The sequence below is a fragment of the Homo sapiens genome, chromosome 2 (assembly GCF_000001405.40).
Source record: "Homo sapiens chromosome 2, GRCh38.p14 Primary Assembly".
Taxonomy (NCBI): domain Eukaryota; kingdom Metazoa; phylum Chordata; class Mammalia; order Primates; family Hominidae; genus Homo; species Homo sapiens.
Window position 1 is genome coordinate 63,685,271 of NC_000002.12, and position 23,193 is coordinate 63,708,463.

Here is a 23,193-nt window from a genome sequence, read left to right on the forward strand (position 1 = left end):
ACATTAGAACTGATAGAGCAGAAATTCAAAGGATTATTAGTGGCTACTATGAGCAACTTTTGTCACTAGATTAGGAAATATAAGAGAAATGGACAAATTCCTAGACATGTACAACCTATCAAGATTGAACCATGAAGAAATCCAAACCTGAACAGACCAATAACAAGTAACAAGAACGAAGCTGTAGTAAAAGAGTCTCCCAGCGAAGAAAAGCCCAGGACCCAGTGGCTTCACGGCTGAATTCTACGAAACATTTAAAGAAGAACTAATACCAATCCTGTTCAAACTGTTCCATAAAATATAGGTGAAGGGAATACTTCCAAATGCGTTCTGTGACGACAGTATAATCCCGATACCAAAAACCAGAAAAGACACATCAGAAAAAGAAAACTACAGGCCAATATCTCTGATGAATATTGATGCAAAAATCCTCAAGAAAATACTAGCAAGCCAAATTCAACAACACATTAAAAAGATCATTCATCATGACCAAGTGAGATTTATCCCAGGTATGCAAGAATGGTTTGATTTGTGCAAATAAATAAATGTGATACATATTACATCAAGAGAATGAAGGACAAAAAACATATGATCATTTAAATTGATGCTGAAAAAGCATTTGATACAATTCAACATAACTTCATGATAAGAACCCTCAAAAAACTGGGTACAGAAGAAACATATGTCAACACAATAAAAGCCATATGTGACAGAACCATAGCTATTATCATACTGAATGGGGTAAAACTGAAAATCTTTTCTCTAAGATCTGGAACAGTACAAGGATGCCCACTTTCATCCCTGTTATTGAACATATTACTGGAAGTCTTCACTAGAGCAATCAGACAAGAGAAAGAAAGGGCATCCAAAGTGGAAGGAAGAAGTCAAGTTATCCTTGTTTGCAAATATGATCTTATATTTGGAAAAACTTAAAAACCCCACCAGAGAACTATTAGAACTGATGAACGAATTCAGTAAAGTTGCATACAAAATCAATACACAAAATCAGTGGCATTTCAATATGTCAATAGCAAATAATCTGAAAAAGAAATCAAGAGAGTAAACCTGTTTATGATAGCTACAAATAAAATACCTACAAATTTACTTAACCAAAAAAGGGAAAGATCTCTGCAATGAACGCTATAAAACACTGATTCTAGATATTGAAGAGAACATTAAAAAATGGAAAGATATCTCATGTTCATGGGTTGCAAAAATCAGTATTGTTAAAATGTCCTACTACCCAAAGTAATCTGCAGATTTGATGCAATCCATCAAAATACCAATGACATCCTTCAGAGAAATAGAAAAAAAATCCTAAAATTAAGCAGAACCACAAAAGACCCAGAATAGCCAAATCTATCCTGAGCAAAAAGAAGAAAACTGAAGGAATCACATTATACTACAGTACTATAGTAACCAAAACAGAATGGTACTCGCATAAAAACAAACACATAGACTAAAGGCACAGCATACAGAACCCAGAAATAAATTCATACATCTTTAGTAAACTCATTTTTGACAAAGTTGCCAAGAACATACAGTCTCTTGAGAAAGGACAGTCTTTTCAATGAATAGTGCTGAAAAAACTGTATATCCATATTCAGATCCACATTCTGTGCTGAAAAAACTGTATATCCATATTCAGATAGACCCCTATCTCTTGCCATATACAAAATCCAAATTAAAATGGATTAAAGACAATTCAGGAGAGTCCAATCTTTTGGCTTTTCTGGGCCACATCAGAAGAAGAATTGTCTTGGACCACACATAAAATACACTAACACTAATGATAGCTGATGAGCTAAAAAAAATCGCACAAATACTCATAATTTTTAAACAAAGTTTACAAATTTCTGTTGGGCCACATTGAAAGCCATCTTGGGCTGCATGCAGCCCAAGGGCCATGGGTTGGACAAGCTTGACGTAAATATAAGACCTCAAATTACAAAACTACTAAAAGAAAACATTGAGGAAACTCTTCAAGACATTGGAGTGGGCAAAGATTTCTTGAATAATATCCCACAAGCACAGGCAACCAAAGCAAAAATGGACAAATGGTATCACATGAAGTTAAAAAGCTTTCTGCCCAGCAATGGAAGCAATCAACAAAATGAAGAGACAACTAGCAGAATGGGAGAAAATATTTGCAAGCTGCCCATCTGACAAGGGATTAATAACCAGAATATGTAAGGAGTTCAAACAACTCAATAGGAAAAAATCTAATAATCCCATCAAAGAAAATGGGCAAAAGATGTGCATAGACGTTTCTCAAAAGAAGACATACAAACAACAAACAGGCATATGAAAAGGTGCTCAATATCATTCATCATCAGCAAAATGCAAATCAAAACTATAGTGAGATATCATCTCACCCCAGTTAAAATGGTTTATATCCAAAAGACAGGCAATAAGAAATGCTGATGAGAATGTGGAGAAAAAAGAACCCCCGTGCATTGTTGGTAAGAATGTAAATTAGTACAATCACTATGGAGAACAGTTTGGAGGTTCCTCAAAAAAACAAAAAATAAAGCTACTCTATGATCCAGCAATCCCACTACTCGGTATATACCTAAATGAAAGGAAATCATGATATCGAAGATGTATCTGTACTCCCATGTTTATTGCAGCACTATTCACAATAGCCGAGATTTTGGAAGCATCCCAAGTGTCCATCAACAGATGAATGGATAAAGAAAATGCGGTACTTACATACAATGGAGTACTATTCAGCATAAAAAGGATGAGATCCTGTCATTTGCAACAACATGGATGGAACTGGAGATCATTATAGCTAAGTGAAATAAGCCAGGCAAAGAAACACAAACATCACATGTTCTTATTTATCTGTGGGAGCTAAAAGTTAAAACGATTGGCCTGGCGCGGTGGCTCACGCCTGTAATCCTAGCACTTTGGGAGGCCGAGGCGGGCAGATCACGAGGTCAGGAGATCGAGACCAGCCTGGCTAACACGGTGAAACCCCGTCTTTACTAAAAATACAAAAAAATTAGCCGGGCGTGGTGGTGGGCGCCTGTAGTCCCAGCTACTCAGGAGGCTGAGGCAGGAAAATGGCGTGAACCTGGGAGGCGGAGCTCGCAGTGAGCCGAGATCGCTCCACTGTAGTCCAGCCTGAGTGACAGAGCGAGACTCCATCTAAAAAAAAAAAAAAGTTAAAACGATTGAACTCATGGAGATAGAGAGTAGAAGGACAGTTACCAGAGGCTAGGAAGGGTTATTGCGGGGTTGGGGAGAGAAATAGTTAGAAAGAATGAATAAGAACTAGTATTTGCTAGCACTACAGGGTGACTATAGTAAAGAAATCAATTTAATTGTACATTTAAAAATAACTAAAAGAGTGTAATTGGATTGTTTGTAACACAAAGGATAAATGCTTGAGGTGATGGATACCCCCATTACCCTGATAGGATTATTAGGCATTGCATGCCTGTATCAAAATATCTCACATACCCCATAAATATATATACCTACTATGTACTCACAAAAATTAAAAATTAAAAAAAAATTCATGTTGAAATTTGATTGCCAATATAATGATGTTGGGAAGTGGGGCCTTTAAAAGGTGATTAGGTCATGAGGTTTCTGTCCTCATGAATGGATTAATGCCATTATTGTGGGAGTGGATCAGCTATCTCAGGAGTTGGGCCCTCCTTTTTCTGTCTCATGAGCTCTTGCCCTCTCTCTCTTGCCCTCTTTGACTATATGATGCCTTCTGCCATGGGATGAAGGCCATGTTCTTGAACTTCCCAGCCTCCAGAACTGTAAGCCAAATACACTTCTGTTCTTTATAAATTATCCAGTCTGTGGTATTCTGTTTTAACAACAGAAAATGTGCTAAGACATCCCTCTTGCAGGGCTTTGTGGAAAGTGGCAAAGCATTATTACTAGGGTCTGTTTTGGGATGGGGAGGGGGAATCTAATTTTAATGGATCAATTTCTTTTTTAAAAAAATGATCCAGGGTATTGTCAGCAACTAGTTTATTCTTCTCTGTAAATTTTTCTTCAAAGAGCAGAAGAATTCACAAATTTAGATAATCTGGTCAAACCCTCTAACTTCAGAAAAGAAACTAAGCATCAGACTCTTTGATGCTGTTTTCTCCACTGAAAAGCTTTTCAGTGGAGTAAAGGGGGCCTCGAAATATTCTGAGATTTGTAGGAGGGTGAAGTAAATACCTAAGGTAATTGTGACGGATAGTTCTTGAATTATCTGCTTTCAACTATCTTCTATCAGGCTGTGGTGAACCCAAGTAACTGAAACTCCTGATGCAAGTAGTACAGACGTATTCAGGAGGGATACTTCTAAGGGGTTGAGGGGAAAAATGCCTGTTGGGGGTTAACCTTATTCAGTGGAGAAAACAGCATCATTGCTTCTGATGCCTAGTTTCTTAATTTTAAAGTAGGCCCGATCCAACATTTCCTCATCATCCTCTCTTATTTCTTCAGATATAAGATCTCTGAAATAGAAATAAATTTTATTCTTATTTATGCAGAGTGCATAATTCAGCTGCTCAGTATCATATGAAATAAAGACCTCCAGAAACTTCCAGGGCCTATTCAATCTTCCTTGCCAAGGGGTCAACTTGACGTTATTAACCCAGTGTACTGCACAGAAGCAATAATAAAAGCCATAAAACATCATTGCAAAGTGACTAGCACAGACTTCAAAGAGGAGCTAAGACAGATGTGAGCAATATCCTATAATGTATGTACTTATCACCTTTGCATTCAGATGGTGGTGGATACCCCTGAATGAGTGTTTAAAGATGTCAAGAATGAGGGCATGAGGAGAAACCAGACAACTCCAGCTAAGTGGACCCATGCACAAAGGACAGTCATGAGGTGAACCATCTGTCTCTTCCAGTCTGTTCTACCCTGTTCAAAGCACTTCTAACAGGTTATTTTAATTAACCTGTAAAACAATTTCCCATGAAGTAGATTGGAGAGAAATTATTGTAAAACCTTATTTAAAACTGTTAAATTCAGCTGGAAAGGCTAATTATCATTATCATACTTTTATAAATGAGGAAACTGAGACACAATGAAGTTAAGTGATTTATGTAGAGCTAGATATTTAATCCCTATTTAATTCCTGATTCTGTGCTTTTTTCACACCATCCCAGTAAGTCCCACTTAGGAACATCCTAGCCTTCTGTAGTTCAGCAGTAACAGCAAAAACTTCAAGCAGGCCAGGAGCCGTGACCCATGCCTGTAATCCCAGCACTTTGGAGGCTGAAATGGGCAGATCGCTTGAGCCCAGGAGTTTGAGATCAGCCTGGGCAACATAGCAAGATCTCCTCTCTACAAAAAATACAAAAACTAGGCAGGTGTGGTGGGGGCATGCTTATAGGAGGCTGAGGTGGGAGGATCATTTGAGCCCAGGAGGCAGAGCCTGCAGTGAACCATGATCGTGCCACTTCACTTCAGCCTGGGGTGACAGAGTGAGACCCTGTCTCGAGAAAACAAAACAAAACAAACAAACAAACAAAAACCCACAAAAAACTTCAAGCAGATTGCTCCGAGGTAATAATTATGAATATGTGTAAAGTTTACCTGTAATGATTCCATTGCGTAGTTGTTAAAAGCAAAAGATTGGAATTAATATAAATATCTACCAAAGGTGGCACATTAAATTACATAGGGGAATGCCATGGTAATAGTAAAAAAAAACCACATAATTCAAGAATAGTTGGGTAGGGAAATGTAATGCAAATGTATATCAGTGGGGAGAAATGAATGTACATGCATAACCTTAAAACATATATTTATCTGGATCTGTTATAAGCAACAATAACATCAATGATAGCATTTTTGCTCTCAACTAAATCTCACGTGGGCACCCTTAGCATCCAGCTTTTAGTCTCTATTATCCATTAATATGAACCAGGAAATTTGGGGGATGGTTGACTCCATAGTTTGAGGGCAGGAAAAAATTATGTTGGATCTGAAACATCAGGATGTTTGGATAGGATACAAGGATAGAAATGCTTAGAGGACAGAAGGCACTATATAAGGACGCCTCCCCTGAACAGGTTATGAACATTTGTGTATCAGAAAAGAAGTAGTAGGCTGGGCGCAGTGGCTCATGCCTATAATCCCAACACTTTGGGAGGCTAAGGCGGGCAGATCACTTGAGGTCAGGAGTTGGAGACCAGCCTGGCCAACACGTTGAAACCCCACCTCCACTAAAAACACAAAAATCAGCTGGGCGTGGTGGTGGGCACCTGTAATCCTAGCTACTGGGGAGACTGAGGTGAAAGAATCGCTTGAACCTGGGGGGCGGAGGTTGCAGTGAGCCAAGATTGTGCCACTGCATTCCAGCCTGGGCAACAAGAGCTAAACTCCATCTCAAAAAAAGAAAAAAAGAAAAAGAAGTAGTAATATCAATAATAATGGGTAACTGAAACCAGCTGAGACTGTAAAAGGCTGTGAGTTCATACTGATGCTGAAGGAGGAATGCCAATTATAAGTGATAAAAATGTAACTGACATACAAAAGGAGAATAAAAAAGTTTTGGTTTACTTTGTTAACTTTAATAAGTAGAAAGGTATGATCTATACAAGATTTTTAAAAATTATATACTACAAAGTGTGTGTGTGTGTGTGTGTGTGTGTGTGTGTGTGTGTGTATTTTTCTATTCTATTAGCAGGAAGAAGTTTACAAATATTTACTGAATGAATGAAATAATTATAAAAAAATATAGGACCTACTCATTGTCTATAAATGATTATTTTCTCCAGTATACTATTACAAGTTACTCTCAATAATTATTCCTGGAAGGACATTTTCTTCAAGTTTTGTTTGAGCCACAGATTTCTAGCTCTACTCTTACTGGGAGTGCCTGATTTTGTTAGAGCCTTACATTACACAGAGAAAAACTTTAATATAAGTATATAAAACACAGCATTGACCAGCAGATGGCTCTACAGAGCAACAACAAAAAAAATCACGACATAATTTAAAACTGATGTATGTGTAAATCATTACTACAGGAAATCTTTTTTACATTCTCTCTGTGTGTGTATGTGTGTGTATGAGAGAAACTGGAATGGTAAAAATGAAAACATTTAACTTGTTAAATTAACTTAGGCAAGTTAAATGTTTTGGTAAAATTTTAGAAGAAAATAGTTTTCAAGAAGTTCATCATGAAGTTATTACTGTCAACTTCTACATCAAAATTTACCCATAATATATGCAAAAGTAGTTCAACACAGATATCAAGAGCAAATTGACTGGAATTAATTGCTGCTTTTAAGTGTCATCTTCTAAACAGTATAAACCAAGGTCAAGAATATTCAGCAATCATTATTTATTCAGATCTAAAAGTAATGTGATGTTTAGAAAAGTGACTGTACTAAAATCTCTTTTAGATAGGCCTTAAATGATTTTTGAAATTTAAGAAGTACAAATTAAGTAATATAGAATATAAGCTTCATTCTGAAAAATATATCTAGGAATAAATATATACATAATGGCTTATATCTCAAACAGATATACTGATTTCCCTTGACATTCTTATGTATTATGTACTATCTTATAATGACAGTTCCAGGGATAATAAAATATAACACTGTTGTTTCTAGATTTTAATTGAAATGCATTCTGTCTCATTCATTCATTCAACTAACATTTATTGAGCACTGGCTATGTGCTACATAAGCAAGCTGTTTTAGGCACTTAAAATGTATAAATTCATTTAATTCTCAACTTTATGAGGTAGATACCATTATTATCCCCATTCTACAGATAAAAAACTGAGGCATGGAGATTAAATAACTAGTTCAAAGTCAGAGAGGTGACAAGTGGCAAATGCAAACTCTGGTGGTTTAGCTCCAATTCCAGTGGTCTTCCATGCATTCACTCATCAGAAAATATTAATTGGAGAATACAGCGCTCTCCTAGATGTCATACAAAAATATATGCACAAGGGGACTATAAACTAGGGAATAAACTTTACATTGGTAAGATGTTTTATAGTTTACAAAAATATGTTCGTATACCCATGAATATTAAGTAACTCTTCAAGAAAACAGTGCAGAAGATGGTATAAGCTGGTATGTATAATAAAATACCATATTAGTGGTACAGATAGTAATTTAAAAATATAACCAAGCAAAAGAAAAGATGGCTATAGACTACAGTAGATATAGATATTAGATAGATAGATAGATAGATAGATAGATAGATAGATAGATAGATAGAATTTAATGGAGGTGGTGGGAGTTGAATGGAGCTAGGCCTGAACAGTGGGGAGGATTTGAGGGGACAAGGAGGAAGTAGGAAAGGTACTACTCTGACAGCCCCAGGAGTACAGAGATTAGAAACCAATAAGACCTGATCAGAACAGACCCCCAAGGCGGGTTGTGGAAAATAAGGTTGGACAAGTAGGAGGGAGCAGATTTTGGAGACCTTTGAATGTTAGGAATGCTAGAGACTACAAGGGCAAGTAATTGATAAGTTGTTGCTAACAACCCAGCACATTCCTGGGAGCTCATTTAGCTGCTAAAGTCATTATTGCATTTGCTGTAGAATATTAGAGTTGAAAATACTATTAGAGTTGTTAAGGATTCTGCAATTGTATACATCATTTATTGATTAATGGACCATTCACTAATGCTTATGGAGTGTTCTGAAAAATCCAGAGCTACTTGATTTATGTATTTCTGCTAATACCATTTCTTGAAAATTAGTGTTGTTTTCTACCTTATTTATAATGCTTTCATACTAATTTGTCTGTGTATATTTTTAAATTCTTCTCTGCACATATTAAACCTTTATCATTCTTCCCTCCTCTTCTCTACTGTATTTTCACAGCAAAACTTATGAACAGAGGGTTTAAGGTTAAATATGTCTGTTTTATGGTATAGAAAAAGAGTTAATCAGTTGTGTCTAAGATAATAAAGGAAAACTATTGTCTGAAGTCATTTAGAATAGATCAATGATTGGTGAAGTGATTCAATCAAAAATATACTTTTTAGTTGACAATATTGCAGGAAACTACTAACTTGAAAAGACTAGGATAGTTAGCCTTTAGATGGTTAGGATTTCAAAGGCGGGTTGTTGAGAGGTACCTTATAATCTTTCTTTGATGTTGATGCAACTTCCCTCTTTTCCCCTTCTTTCTCTCCTCAAGTATTGTAGGACATGTATTTATTGTTTAAATGAAAAAAATGATAAAAATAATTATTGAGTATTTTACTCTGAATAAAGTGGATGACACTCTTGGTGACAAAGTCACAATTTAGGAGCCTTTTCAAGCAGGAAATAATTTTATTTTATTACCATTCATCAATATATACTGAAAATGTATCAAAGCACAAAATCTTGGGGACTCAATTCCATGTACTGATAAAGCATAGTTGTACCAAATAATTTGTACCAGAATTTCTTCATCTTTAAGAGTAGGAAGCATAAAAAAGGAAATGAAATGGAATTCTGACTTTGGTTCATATTTGTTTAAAAAACAATTGAAATGTAGCAGGTATGTATAAGTTAACATTGTTGGAGAGGAAAATGTGGCCTTTTTGAGATCAACAACAAATAGATTTTTCACATTTAGCCTATGAAACCTAAAGATAAGAAAAGGCAGGAAAAACACTGATTAGACTGAGAAGGGTTCAACTTCTGTCTGGTCAAAGTTTGCAGGCCAAGTTCTAAAAGAGAGTGAAATAGGGAGGAAATAGTTCAGTCAAAAATAAGAAACAAAAACACAGACAAATACAGGAACAATATTTTCAGAAACATTGACCAACAGAGTTGTGAATTCAAACTTACTAAATGAAAGTGTGAAGTATTTGGCATTATCTTATTTCTCTTACTTGTCTTATTTCCCTTATTTTCATTGATATGAATGTGGGAATGAGAAACCAAGGAACAACAGAAGAGAAATATGAAATGAATGAGGAATAGATAAAACAAAAAATTAAAACATTTATTTTCTCATTTCTTTGTCTCCTATGCTTTATTTACAGATTTTAGTATTTCCTTCCAAGACTACATATGCTTCATATATATAATTCAATAGATATCCTTTTTTTACTTTGTTATATTGATGAAGAGACTTATTTAGAAGATTTAAGATTAGAGTTGCTAGATCAAATCCTGCCATGCAGGACAACCAGTTAAATTTGAATTTCAGGTAAGCAATGAATACTTTTTTTAGCATAAATATGTCCCATATATTGCATGGGACACAGTTAAACTAAAAATTATTCATTGTTTACCTGAAATTCAAATTTAACTGTCTGTCTTGTATTTTTATTTGCTAAATCTGGTAGCCCTACTAGGAAAGAACCACTAGTCTTAAGAGAGGTGGATCTCCTTGGGCTCTTTTGGTTTATCAATATCTCCTACTTAAATTTTTTTAATAGATAAAAGTATACTTATCATGAGTGTATAGTTCATTGAACTTTCACAAATTGAACACACCCATGTAACCAGCACCCAGGTCAAAACCCAAAATGTTATCCACCCCCTAGAAGCCTCCCTTGTACCCTCTTCCAGCAACATGGTTTCCCAGAGCTTGACCTTTCCACTAAGGGTAATCATTATCCTGACTTCTAAAAGTATAAACTAGTTTTGCTTATTTCACAACTATTTTTATCTAGTGTCAGTGGCCTCATCCTTGTATTCTAAAAGAATATCCACTCACTTGATAGAAACAAAGACCCCCTGGCACCAGGTTAACTGACCATTTGATTTGGAGATGGTTGAGGTTGGGGGACAGCTCTTCCATCTCCATGTATTAAGGGAATTCTCTAGGAAGTGGTATTTATCTAGAACCCCACAGTGGGTAGCAGGTGGGTAGAACCTTCCGGTGGACCTAAGAGATAATAAAGGCAGAAATCTAGAAGTTGTGGGTCTTCCAGAATGTGGTCAGGTTATAAATTTTGGCTAGGAGGGGCTGAGAACCAAGCAGGTGGTTTGGTTGATGACACCTGAGAGACTGTAAGAACTAGGCATTTGACACACTCCCGCATGCACATCTTCATGGAAGTGATCCGATCCGTTGCTAATACCCCAGCAAGTTTCTTCTTGGCAGTGTTGGTCTGCAATGGCACAGCTTTGTTGTATAAAGTTGTTCCATGAAGCCATGAAATTTTTCTGTCATTCCCTCAGTTTGTAGACAGATAACTACGCCCGTTCTACAAGAATGCATCATTATCATTACCATAACTAAGGACAGAAACCAGAAGGGGTCCCTTCCCCTTCTCTCCAGTAGTATTGAGGGGGAAGACCACAGGAATAGAGCTCCAAGAGAAGGCAGAGCAGGACCTTCACCTCCACCAGCCTGGAAAATGAGGCTCCAGGGACCCACTACAGTTCACTGAGTACACACCAATGCTTCCTTGGAGCAGAGCCCACGTGGCTGAGACACCCATGGTAGCAATTGGGTAATTGGGTAAAGAGTCAGAGTATATGACCTGGGTGGTTAAGAATCCTTTTCTGACCAGAATCTTAGGTTAGGAATCCAGGTGATTCAGTTTGGCAAGGACCACCAAATATTTAACTGGCTGATGCCAGAAAGTCTGAATGGTTTCTCAGTAGCAGCCTTCCAGGCAAAAGTGAGATATCAAAATATTTGCCTCTCCACCAAGCTCAAAACAAAGAAGGTAAAACATAGTTCTTCCATCCCCATCACTGCATTCCTCCCCTACCTGGTACATAGTCTGTCCTGTTACAGAAGAGGGTATTTGTTGCAGTATTATTTATAATACCAAAAAAGCAGAACACTCTATTCAAGAATGGGACTTTGACTAAATAAATTACGCCACAACCAAACAATGTAATCCTATTCAGTCTTAAAATGATGTTGTAGAAGAAAATGTAGTAGTAGTTATAGTAGCTGTAGTAGTAGTAGTAGTTATAGTAGTTGTAGTAGTGTGGGCCCCATAAAGCCCACACTACCTGCCAGCATTGTTCTAAGTACTTGGCAAATGTTGACTCACTTAAATATTTACAACATTTTGTGAAGTAGGAGCCATTATTATCCCCATTTTACAGATGAGGAATTTGCAGAAATTATTTCAGTTAAAGGACACGCCCAAGGGTCACACGGTAAGTGATGAGCCAAGATTCAAATTCAGATAGATCCAGAGTCCACTCTATGAACTGTTGCATAATGACAAATGAAATGTTAATCATTTATAATTATAGGAAAAAGCAGGCTAAAAAACAGTTTGAAAAGTGTGATTCCAATTCCGTATCAAGCACTAAAAAATCGTATGATCATACACACAAAGAAAATTTGTTGTGTTGCCTGCCATGGTGTTAATAGTATTACCTCTGAGAAGTTGCATTTAAGTGATTCTTATTTCCTTTTTAATAATTTTCTATAATGTCTATATTTTCTATAATAAATCTTTATGATTTCTTCTTTTGAAACAGAGTCTCACTCTGTCACCCAGGCTGGAGTGCAGTGGCGTGATCTTGGCTCACTGCACCCTAGACTTCCTGGGCTGAGGTGATTCTCCCACCTCAGCCTCTGGAGTAGCTGGGACTACAGGGGTGTACCACCATGCCAGGCTAATTTTTGTATTTCTTGTAGAGATGGGGTTTTGCCATGTTGCCCAGGCTGGTCTTGAACTCCTGAGTTCAAAAGTGATCCTCCTACCTTGGCCTCCCAAAGTGCTGGGACTACAGGTATGAGTCACCATGCCCAGCCTATGACTTTTTTTTTTTAAGATAGAGTCTCGCTCTGTCGCCTGTTGCCCAGGCTGGAGTGCAGTGGCGTGATCTCGGCTCACTGCAACCTCCACTTCCTGGGTTCAAGTGATTCTCGTGCCTCAGCCTCCTGAGTAGCTGGGATTATGGATGTGCAGCACCATGCCTGGCTAATTTTTGTATTTTTATTAGAGACGGGGTTTCACCATGTTGGCCAGGCTGGTCTCAAACTCCTGACCTCAGGTGATCTGCCACCTTGGCCTCCCAAAGTGCTCGACTTTTTTAATGAGGAAAAAATTCTAAGACAAAATGATTTCTTGAGGTGAAATCAGCTCAACAATTGTGACCTTTATGCAAGGTCTTCTGGTATGAAGACATGGAGAGAAGTCACATCCTATGGAAAGCTTTCAAAGGACATTCCCAGATCACATCATGCCAACTGATTTGCCTCAGAGGAAAATGAACTTCAAACTCATTAATGCGTAAACTCAGTGCCTGGGAGGCAAGCTATGTTGAGCACCAAGCAGATGTTAGAATGTTGAAGCTGGCAGGGACCTGGAGCCTCTAGAATCTAATCCCTCTGTTGGCACAGACTGAGGCTGGAGGGGATGCCTATGGAAAGTCAAGTCAGGTAACAGGGAGGCACTTACAGAAAATGGCATTTGCCCTAGGAAGCAGAAGTAAGCAGGAAATTTCACAAGTCATTTAAAATTTAGTCACAGAATTTCCTGGCTAGCAAGAGAACACCTGAGATGACTTTTATCTTCTCGTGGCCACAGAAGTTTACTCAGAAAAAGAGGGAGGGGGGAATAAAGCTTTGTGAATGTATTGCAGTAAAGATTTATGCTTGGGAGAGTTCAAAATTAGCTGTGATGGAGAAGAATCCTGTTGCAGACAATGACATGGACATGTAGCCATCTTTTCCCAGACTACACCCTCTGACAGGATGCAGTTATACTCAGTATCTCCCTGGAAAATGACCCAGAGTTCCTGGACTTCCAGCCCAGTCTGGATTTCCTGAGGGAAGCTATTACTTAGTCAGGCCCCACCCTTCCAAGACATCACAGTGACTCATCTGAGCAAACTGGAGAGGGCTGGCAATCTCCAAGCAACACGGTTTCCCAGAGCTTGACCCTTCCAACAGCTACTCCCACAAACAGGGCCAATTAGCGAGTCCTGCTGATGAAGGAACACTCTCAGCAGCTCCCCTTCCCAGCTGGTTAGCAGCCACTGTCTTTCACCCATCCATGGTTGTAGGTCTCTCTCTGGCTCACTGATAATGTACTACCTCTAGAGGGCAGTTCAAAGCAGGATTCTCACTGAGTTCTGTAATGGTAGTACTTCACAGATTGTAATGAAATTATTCAAAATGTCCTCGTGAAAGAAACCCATGTTCTTTCATATAATGTCACAATTTTAGCTGTCCACTCAAGCAATTTGCAGGACCGAATCTGGATGCAAGTATTTAACTAAAAAGAACTATGTGATAACAGATGCTAGACTTACAAAGAAGGAACTGAGAGGATTCAGAGGGACGGTTGTTCCCACTAAGGTGGTGTATAAAGCAGTTTTTGAGGCGCTGGCCTTTGAGCTGGGCCTTATTAAAGATGAGCTGATTTTGACAGGGAGATATGTTAAGGGAGGCAGAGGAAGAGGGATACCCAGACAGAGGGAGAAGTCTAAAAAAAAGTTTGGAGCTATAAAAGAATGAGTCATGGCATAACAAAGCGAGAAGTCTCGTTTTCTAACATAGAGGTATCCCATAGCCAGGGCAAACTGGGAAAAGAAATATTGAATCTAAGACACCATGATTGCCATCGATTGTAACATGCACTCTGATTTCAGAGGTGTTTCAAAGGTCTTTTAAAAAAATGTGTCTTAGAATTGACAAAACACAGTTAACTGGGATAGTATTATACAAGGTCTCAAAAACCAGCTAAGAGGGTAGATGGTGAGAAATGAGGAGCTTCTGAAGGCTTTTGAGCAGGGGTGTGAGGTTATGTTTTATGAAGATTGCTCATTGCTGTGGGTAAGGCCAAGGTAGAATATGCTTTGGGCTGGGCCTGGTGGCTCACGCTTGTAATCCTAGCATGGTGAGAGGCTGAGGCAGATGGATGTGTTGAGCCCAGGAGTTTGACACCCGCCTGGGCAACCTGACCAAACCTCATACAAAAAATGCAAAAATTAGCCAGGCATGGTGGTGCACACCTGTAGTCCCAGCTACTTGAGAGGCTGAAGTGGGAGGATCACCTGAGCCTGGGGAGGTCAAGGCTGCAGTGAGCCACGATCGTGCCACTGTACTGCAGCCTGGGTGACAGAGTGAGACCCTGTCTCAAAAAAAAAAAAAAAAAAAAACAAAAAGAAAAAAAGAAAAAAATGCTGTGCTAGAGCTACTTAATTAGTACAGGCTCCAGGGAACTAGAGAAGTGGTAGTGGGAATGGAAAAGGTCAGATACAAGACTTTTCCAAGGAAAAATCAAGTGAGTCAACTGCACAGACATGGTGAGTGAGAGAGGAGTCAAAAATCAATTACAGATGGATAACGAAGACAAATGTGGTATGCCTGTCATTGTAATTTATGTTCCCTACTCATTATGCTTTCGTGCTGAACATTTTTTCCTTTACTGATTTTTTTCTAAATGGTAAAATTTTGTTATTCTTTTTCTCTCGCATACAGTGTTTAAAAGTTTTGATACCCAGCATGGTACTCACATAAAAACAGACACACAAACCAAAGGAACAGAATAGAGAACCCTGACATAAATCCATGTATTTACAGCCAACTCATTTCAACGCAGACACCAAGCACATACAATGGGGAAAGAACAGGCTCTTCAATAAAAGGCACTGAAAAAACTGGATAACCATACGCAGAAGATTGAAACTAGACCTCTATCTCTCACTATATGCAAAAATCAAATAAAATGGATTGATGACTTAAATTTAAGACTTGAAACTATGAAACTACTAGAAGAAAACATTGGGGAAATACTCCAGGACATTGGTCTTGGCAAAGAATTTTTGGTGTAAGACTTCAAAATCACAGGCAACCAAAACAAAAGACAAATGAGATTACATCAACCTTCTGCACAGCAAAGGAGGCAACAAGGTAGAGACAATCCACAGAATAGAAGAAAATATTTGCAAACTGCTCATCTGACAAAGGATTAATAACCAGGATATATAAGGAGCTCAAACAACTCAATAGCAAAACAACAAATAATACAATTTAAAAATGGGCAAAAGATCTGAATAGACATTTTTCAAAAGAAGACATATAAATGACCAATAAGAATATAAAAAAAAATGCTCAACATTGCTAGTCATCAGAGAAATGCAAATCAAAATCACAAAGAGATCTCTCACCCCAATTAAAACTGGCTTTTGTCAAAAAGGCAATAACAGATGCTGACAAGGATGTGAAGAAAGGAGAACCTTCATACACCGTTGGTGGGAATGTAAATTAGTACAACCACTATGGAAAACTGTATAGAAGTTCCTCAAAAAACTAAAAATAGAGCTATCATATGTTCAGCAATTTTTCTAGTTATATATAGCCAAAAGAAATGAAATCAGCATATCAAAGACACTTCTGTACTTCCAAGTTTATTGCAGCACTATTCATAATAGCCAAAATATGGAACCAACCTAAGTGCCCATTAATGGATGAATGGATAAAGAAAATGTGTTATATATATACAACAGGACATTATTCAGCCATAAGAAAGAATGAAATCCTGTCACATGCAGCAACATGGATGGAACTGGAGGTCATTATATTAAGTGAAACAAGCCAAGCACAGAAAGACAAATATCACATGTTCTCACTCATATGTAGGAGCTTAAAAAGTGACTATCATGAAATAGAGAACAGATTGGTGGTTACCACAGGCACCAGAAAGGGTGGGGTGAGGGGGATGAAGAGAGGTTGACTAATGGGTACAAATATACAGTTCGATAGAAGAAATAAAACCTAGTGTTTCATAGATAAATAGGATGATCATAGTTTACAATATCTATTGTATATTTCAAAATAATTAGACGAGAATAATTCAATTGTTCCTAGCATAAAGAAAAGACGATTTTTTTTTCTTGAGATGGAGTTTCGCTCTTGTTGCCCAGGCTGGAGTGCAATGGCACGATCTCTGCTCCCTGCAACCTCCGCCTCCTAGGTTCAAGCGATTCTCCTGCCTCAGCCTCCCGAGTAGCTGGGATTATAGACGCATGCCACCACACCCGGCTAATTTTTGTATTTTTGGTAGAGATGGGGTTTCACCATGTTGGCCAGGCTGGTCTTGAACTCCTGACCTCAGGTGATCCGCCTGCTTCGGCCTCCCAAAGTGCTGGGATTACAGGCGTGAGCCACCGTGCCCAGCCAAAGACAAATATTTAAGGTGATGGATCTTCTAATTACACTGAATTGATCTTTACAAATTATATATACCCTGAAAATATGTACACCTAGTATATATCAATAAAAAGTAGAATTTAAAAAAGTTTTAATTAACATCTTTACAGTGCTAATGGTTGCCCTGACATATTTAAGCCTACATTTTTACATCAACATCAAAAATTAATAGCTACCCATTCTTTTTTTTTTTGGTGTAGGGGGCGGAGTCTCATTCTGTCTCCCAGGGAGGAGTGCATTGGCGCGATTTCGGCTCACTGCAAGCTACGCCTCCGGGGTTCACACCATTCTCCTGCCTCAGCCTTCCGAGTAGCTGGACTGCAGGCGCCCACCACCACATCCAGCTAATTTTTTTTTTTTTTTACTTTTTTTTTTTAATTATACTTTAAGTTTTAGGGTACATGTGCACAACGTGCAGGTTTGTTACATATGTATACATGTGACATGTTGGTGTGCTGCACCGATTAACTCGTCATTTAGCATTGGGTATATCTCCTAAAGCTATCCCTCCCCTCTCCCCCCACCCCACAACAGTCCCCAATGTGTGATGTTCCCTTTCCTGTGTCCATGTGTTCTCATTGTTCAATTCCCACCTATGAGTGAGAACATGTGGTGTTTGGTTTTTTGTCCTTGCAATAGTTTGCTGAGAATGATGGTTTCAAGCTTCATCCATGTCCCTACAAAGGACATGAACTCATCATTTTTTATGGCTGCATAGTATTCCATGGTGTATATGTGCCACATTTTCTTAATCCAGTCTATCATTGTTGGACATTTGGGTTGGTTCCAAGTCTTTGCTATTGTGAATAGTGCTGCAATAAACATACGTGTGCATGTGTCTTTATAGCAGCATGATTTATAATCCTTTGGTTATATACCCAGTAATGGGATGGCTGGGTCAAAGGGTATTTCTAATTCTAGATCCCTGAGGAATCGCCACACCAACTTCCACAATGGTTGAACTAGTTTACAGTCCCATCAACAGTGTAAAAGTGTTCCTATTTCTCCACATCCTCTCCAGCACCTGTTGTTTCCTGACTTTTTAATGATCGCCATTCTAAGTGGTGTGAGATGGTATCTCATTGTGGTTTTGATTTGCATTTCTCTGATGGCCAGTGATCATGAGCATTTTTTCATGTGTTTTTTGGCTGCGTAAATGTCTTCTTTTGAGAAGTGTCTGTTCATATCCTTTGCCCACTTTTTGATGGGGTTTTGTTTTGTTTTGTTTTGTTTTGTTTTGTTTTTGAGACAGAGTCTCACTCTGTTCTGTTCCATGGGCTCTGTTCTGTTCCATGGGTCTATATCTCTGTTTTGGTACCAGTACCATGCTGTTTTGGTTACTGTAGCCTTGTAGTATAGTTTGAAGTCAGGTAGCATGATGCCTCCAGCTTTGTTCTTTTGGCTTAGGATTGACTTGGCAATGTGGACTCTTTTTTGGTTACATATGAACATTAAAGTAGTTTTTTCCCATTCTGTGAAGAAAGTCATTGGTAGCTTGATGGGGATGGCATTGAATCTATAAATTACCTTGGGCAGTATGGCCATTTTCACGATATTGATTCTTCCTACCCATGAGCATGGAATGTTCTTCCATTTGTTTGTATCCTCTTTTATTTCATTGAGCAGTGGTTTGTAGTGCTCCTTGAAGAGGTCCTTCATGTCCCTTGTAAGTTGGATTCCTAGGTATTTTATTCTCTTTGAAGCAATTGTGAATGAGAGTTCACTCATGATTTGGCTCTCTGTTTGTCTGTTATTGGTGTATAAGAATGCTTGTGATTTTTGCACATTGATTTTGTATCCTGCGACTTTGCTGAAGTTGCTTATCAGCTTAAGGAGATTTTGGCTGAGATGATGGGGTTTTCTAGATATATAATCATGTCATCTGCAAACAGGGACAATTTGACTTCCTCTTTTCCTAATTGAATGCCCTTTATTTCCTTCTCCTGCCTGATTGCCCTGGCCAGAACTTCCAACACTATGTTGAATAGGAGTGGTGAGAGAGGGCATCTCTGTCTTGTGCCAGTTTTCAAAGGGAATGCTTCCAGTTTTTGCCCATTCAGTATGATATTGGCTGTGGGTTTGTCATAGATAGCTCATTTTTTTGAGATACGTCCCATCAATACCTAATTTATTGAGTGTTTTTAGCATGAAGGGTTGTTGAATTTTGTCAGAGGCCTTTTCTGCATCTATTGAGATAATCATGTGGTTTTTGTCTTTGGTTCTGTTTATATGCTGGATTACGTTTATTGATTTGCATAGGTTGAACCACCCTTGCATCCCAGGGATGAAGCCCACTTGATCATGGTGGATAAGCTTTTTGATGTGTTGCTGGATTCGGCTTGCCAGTATTTTATTGAGGATTTTTGCATCGATGTTCATCAAGGATATTGGTCTAAAATGCTCTTTTTTTGTTGTGTTTCTGCCCGGCTTTGGTATCAGGATGATGCTGGCCTCATAAAATGAGTCAGGGAGGATTTCCTCTTTTTCTATTGATTGGGATAGTTTCAGAAGGAATGGTACCAGCTCCTCCTTGTACCTCTGGTAGAATTCGGCTGTGAATCCATCTGGTCCTGGACTTTTTTTGATTGGTAAGCTATTAATTATTGCCTCAATTTCAGAGCCTGTTATCAGTCTATTCAGAGATTAAAATTCTTCCTGGTTTAGTCTTGGGAGGGTGTATGTGTTGAGGAATTTATCCATTTCTTCTAGATTTTCTAGTTCATTTGCATAGAGGTGTTTATAGTATTCTCTGATGGTAGTTTGTATTTCTGTGGGATCGGTGGTGATATCCCCTTTGTCATTTTTTATTGCGTCTATTTGATTCTTCTCTCTTTTCTTCTTTATTAGTCTTGCTAGCAGTCTATCAATTTTGTTAATCTTTTCAAAAAAGCAGCTCCTGGATACATTGATTTTTTGAAGGGTTTTTTGTGTCTCTGTTTCCTTCAGTTCTGCTCTGATCTTAGTTATTTCTTGCCTTCTGCTAGCTTTTGAATGTGTTTGCTCTTGCTTCTCTAGTTCTTCTAATTGTGATGTAGGGTGTCAATTTTAGATCTTTCCTGCTTTCTCTTGTGGGCATTTAGTGCTATAAATTTCCCTCCTCACACTGCTTTGAATGTGTCCCAGAGATTCTGGTATGTTGTGTGTCTGTTCTCATTGGTTTCAAAGAACATCTTTATTTCTGTCTTCATTTCGTTATGTACCAAGTAGTCATTCAGGAGCAGGTTGTTCAGTTTCCATGTAGTTGAGCAGTTTTGAGTGAGTTTCTTAATCCTGAGTTCTAGTTTGATTGCATGTGGTCTGAGAGACAGTTTTTTATAATTTCTGTTCTTTTATATTTGCTGAGGAGTGCTTTACTTCCAACTATGTGGTCAATTTTGGAATAAGTGTGATGTGATGCTGAGAAGAATGTGTATTCTGTTGATCTGGGGTGGAGAGTTCTGTAGATGTCTATTAGGTCTGCTTGGTGCAGAGCTGAGTTCAATTCCTGGATATCCTTGTTAACTTTCTGTCTTGTTGATCTGTCTAATGTTGACAGTGGGGTGTTAAAGTCTCCCATTATTATTGTGTGGGAGTCTAAGTCTCTTTGTAGGTCACTAAGGACTTGCTTTATGAATCTGGGTGCCCCTGTATTGGGTGCATATATATTTAGAATAGTTAGTTCTTCTTGTTGAATTGATCCCTTTACCATTATGTAATGGCCTTCTTTGTCTCTTTTGATCTTTGTTGGTTTAAAGTCTGTTTTATCCAAGACTAGGATTGCAACCCCTGCATTTTTTTGTTTTCCATTTGCTTGGTAGATCTTCCTCCATCCCTTTATTTTGAGCCTACGTGTGTCTCTGCACGTGAGATGGGTTTCCTGAATACAGCACACTGATGGGTCTTGACTCTATCCAATTTGCCAGTCTGTGCCTTTTAATTGGAGCATTTAGCCCATTTACATTTAAGGTTAGTATTGTTATGTGTGAATTTGATCCTGTCATTATGATGTTAGCTGGTTATTTTGCTCATTAGTTGATGCAGTTTCTTCCTAGTCTTGATGGTCTTTACAATTTGGCATGATTTTGCAGTGGCTGATACCGGTTGTTCCTTTCTATGTTTAGTGCTTCCTTCAGGAGCTCTTTTAGGGCAGGCCTGGTGGTGACAGAATCTCTCAGCATTTGCTTGTCTGTAAAGTATTTTATTTCTCCTTCACTTATGAAGCTTAGTTTGGCTGGATATGAAATTCTGGGTTGAAAATTCTTTTCTTTTTTTTTTTTTTTTTTTTTTTTTTTGAGACGGAGTCTCGCTCTGTCGCCCAGGCTGGACTGCGGACTGCAGTGGCGCAATCTCGGCTCACTGCAAGCTCCGCTTCCCGGGTTCACGCCATTCTCCTGCCTCAGCCTCCCGAGTAGCTGGGACTACAGGCGCCCGCCACCGCGCCCGGCTAATTTTTTGTATTTTTAGTAGAGATGGGGTTTCACCTTGTTAGCCAGGATGGTCTCGATCTCCTGACCTCATGATCCACCCGCCTCGGCCTCCCAAAGTGCTGGGATTACAGGCATGAGCCACCGTGCCCGGCCTTGAAAATTCTTTTCTTTAAGAATGTTGAATATTGGCCCCCCACTCTCTTCTGGCTTGTAGAGTTTCTGCCGAGAGATCAGTTGTTAGTCTGATGGGCTTCCCTTTGTGGGTAACCCGACCTTTCTTTCTGGCTGCCTTTAACTTTTTTTCCTTCATTTCAACTTTGGTGAATCTGACAATTATGTGTCTTGGAGTTGCTCTTCTTGAAGAGTAACTTTGTGGCGTTCTCTGTATTTCCTGAATTTGAATGTTGGCCTGCCTTGCTAGATTGGGGAAGTTCTCCTGGATAATATCCTGCAGAGTGTTTTCCAACTTGGTTCCATTCTCCCCGTTACTTTCAGGTACACCAATCAGATGTAGATTTGGTCTTTTCACATAGTCCCATATTTCTTGGAGGCTTTGTTCATTTCTTTTTATTCTTTTTTCTCTAAAGTTCTCTTCACGCTTCATTTCATTCATTTTATCTTCCACCGCTGATACCCTTTCTTCCAGTTGATCGCATCGGTTACTGAGGCTTGTGCATTCGTCACGTAGATCTCGTGCCATGGTTTTCAGCTCCATCAGGTCCCTTAAGTACTTCTCTGCATTGGTTATTCTAGTTATCCATTCATCTAATTTTTTTCCAAAGTTTTTAACTTCTTTGCCATTGGTTCGAACTTCCTCCTTTAGCTCAGAATAGTTTGATCTTCTGAAGCCTTCTTCTCTCAACTCATCAAAGTCATTCTTCGTCCAGCTTTGTTCCGTTGCTGGTGAGGAGCTGCGTTCCTTTGGAGGAGGAGAGGCACTCTGATTTTTAGAGTTTCCGGTTTTTCTGCTCTGTTTTTTCCCCATCTTTGTGGTTTTATCTACCTTTGGTCTTTGATGATGGTGATGTACAGATGGGTTTTTGGTGTGGATGTGCTTTCTGTTTGTTAGTTTTCCTTCTAACAGTCAGGACCCTCAGCTGCAGGTCTGTTGGAGTTTGCTGGAGGTCCACTCCAGACCCTGTTTGCCTGGGTATCAGCAGCGGTGGCTGCAGAACAATGGATATTGGTGAACTGCAGATGCTGCTGCTTGATCGTTCCTCTGGAAGTTTTGTCTCAGAGGAGTACCCAGCTGTATGAGGTGTCAGTCCACCCCTACTGGGGGGTGCCTCCCAGTTAGGCTACTTGGGGGTCAGGGAACCACTTGAGGAGGCAGTCTGTCCATTCTCAGATCTCAAGCTGTGTGCTGGGAGAACCACTACTCTCTTCAAAGCTGTCAGACAGGGACATTTAAGTCTGCAGAGGTTATTGCTGTCTTTTGTTTGTCTGTGCCCTGCCCCCAGAGGTGGAGCCTACAGAGGCAGGCAGGCCTCCTTGAGTTGTGGTGGGCTCCACACAGTTTGAGCTTCCCGGCCGCTTTGTTTACCTACTCAATCCTGGGCAATGGCGGGCCCCCCTCCCCCAGCCTCGCTGCTGCCTTGCAGTTTGATCTCAGACTGCTGTGCTAGCAATGAGCAAGGCTCCGTGGGCATAGGACCTTCCGAGCCAGGTGTGGGATATAATCTCCTGATGTGCCGTTTGTTA

General features: G+C 39.1%; 1 protein-coding gene across 5 annotated transcripts in view; it reads right to left on the minus strand.

Annotated features, from left to right (window-relative positions):
- Positions 1–23,193, minus strand: part of WDPCP (WD repeat containing planar cell polarity effector) — a 721,268-nt gene that overhangs the window by 565,712 nt on the left and 132,363 nt on the right. The window lies entirely within an intron of this gene.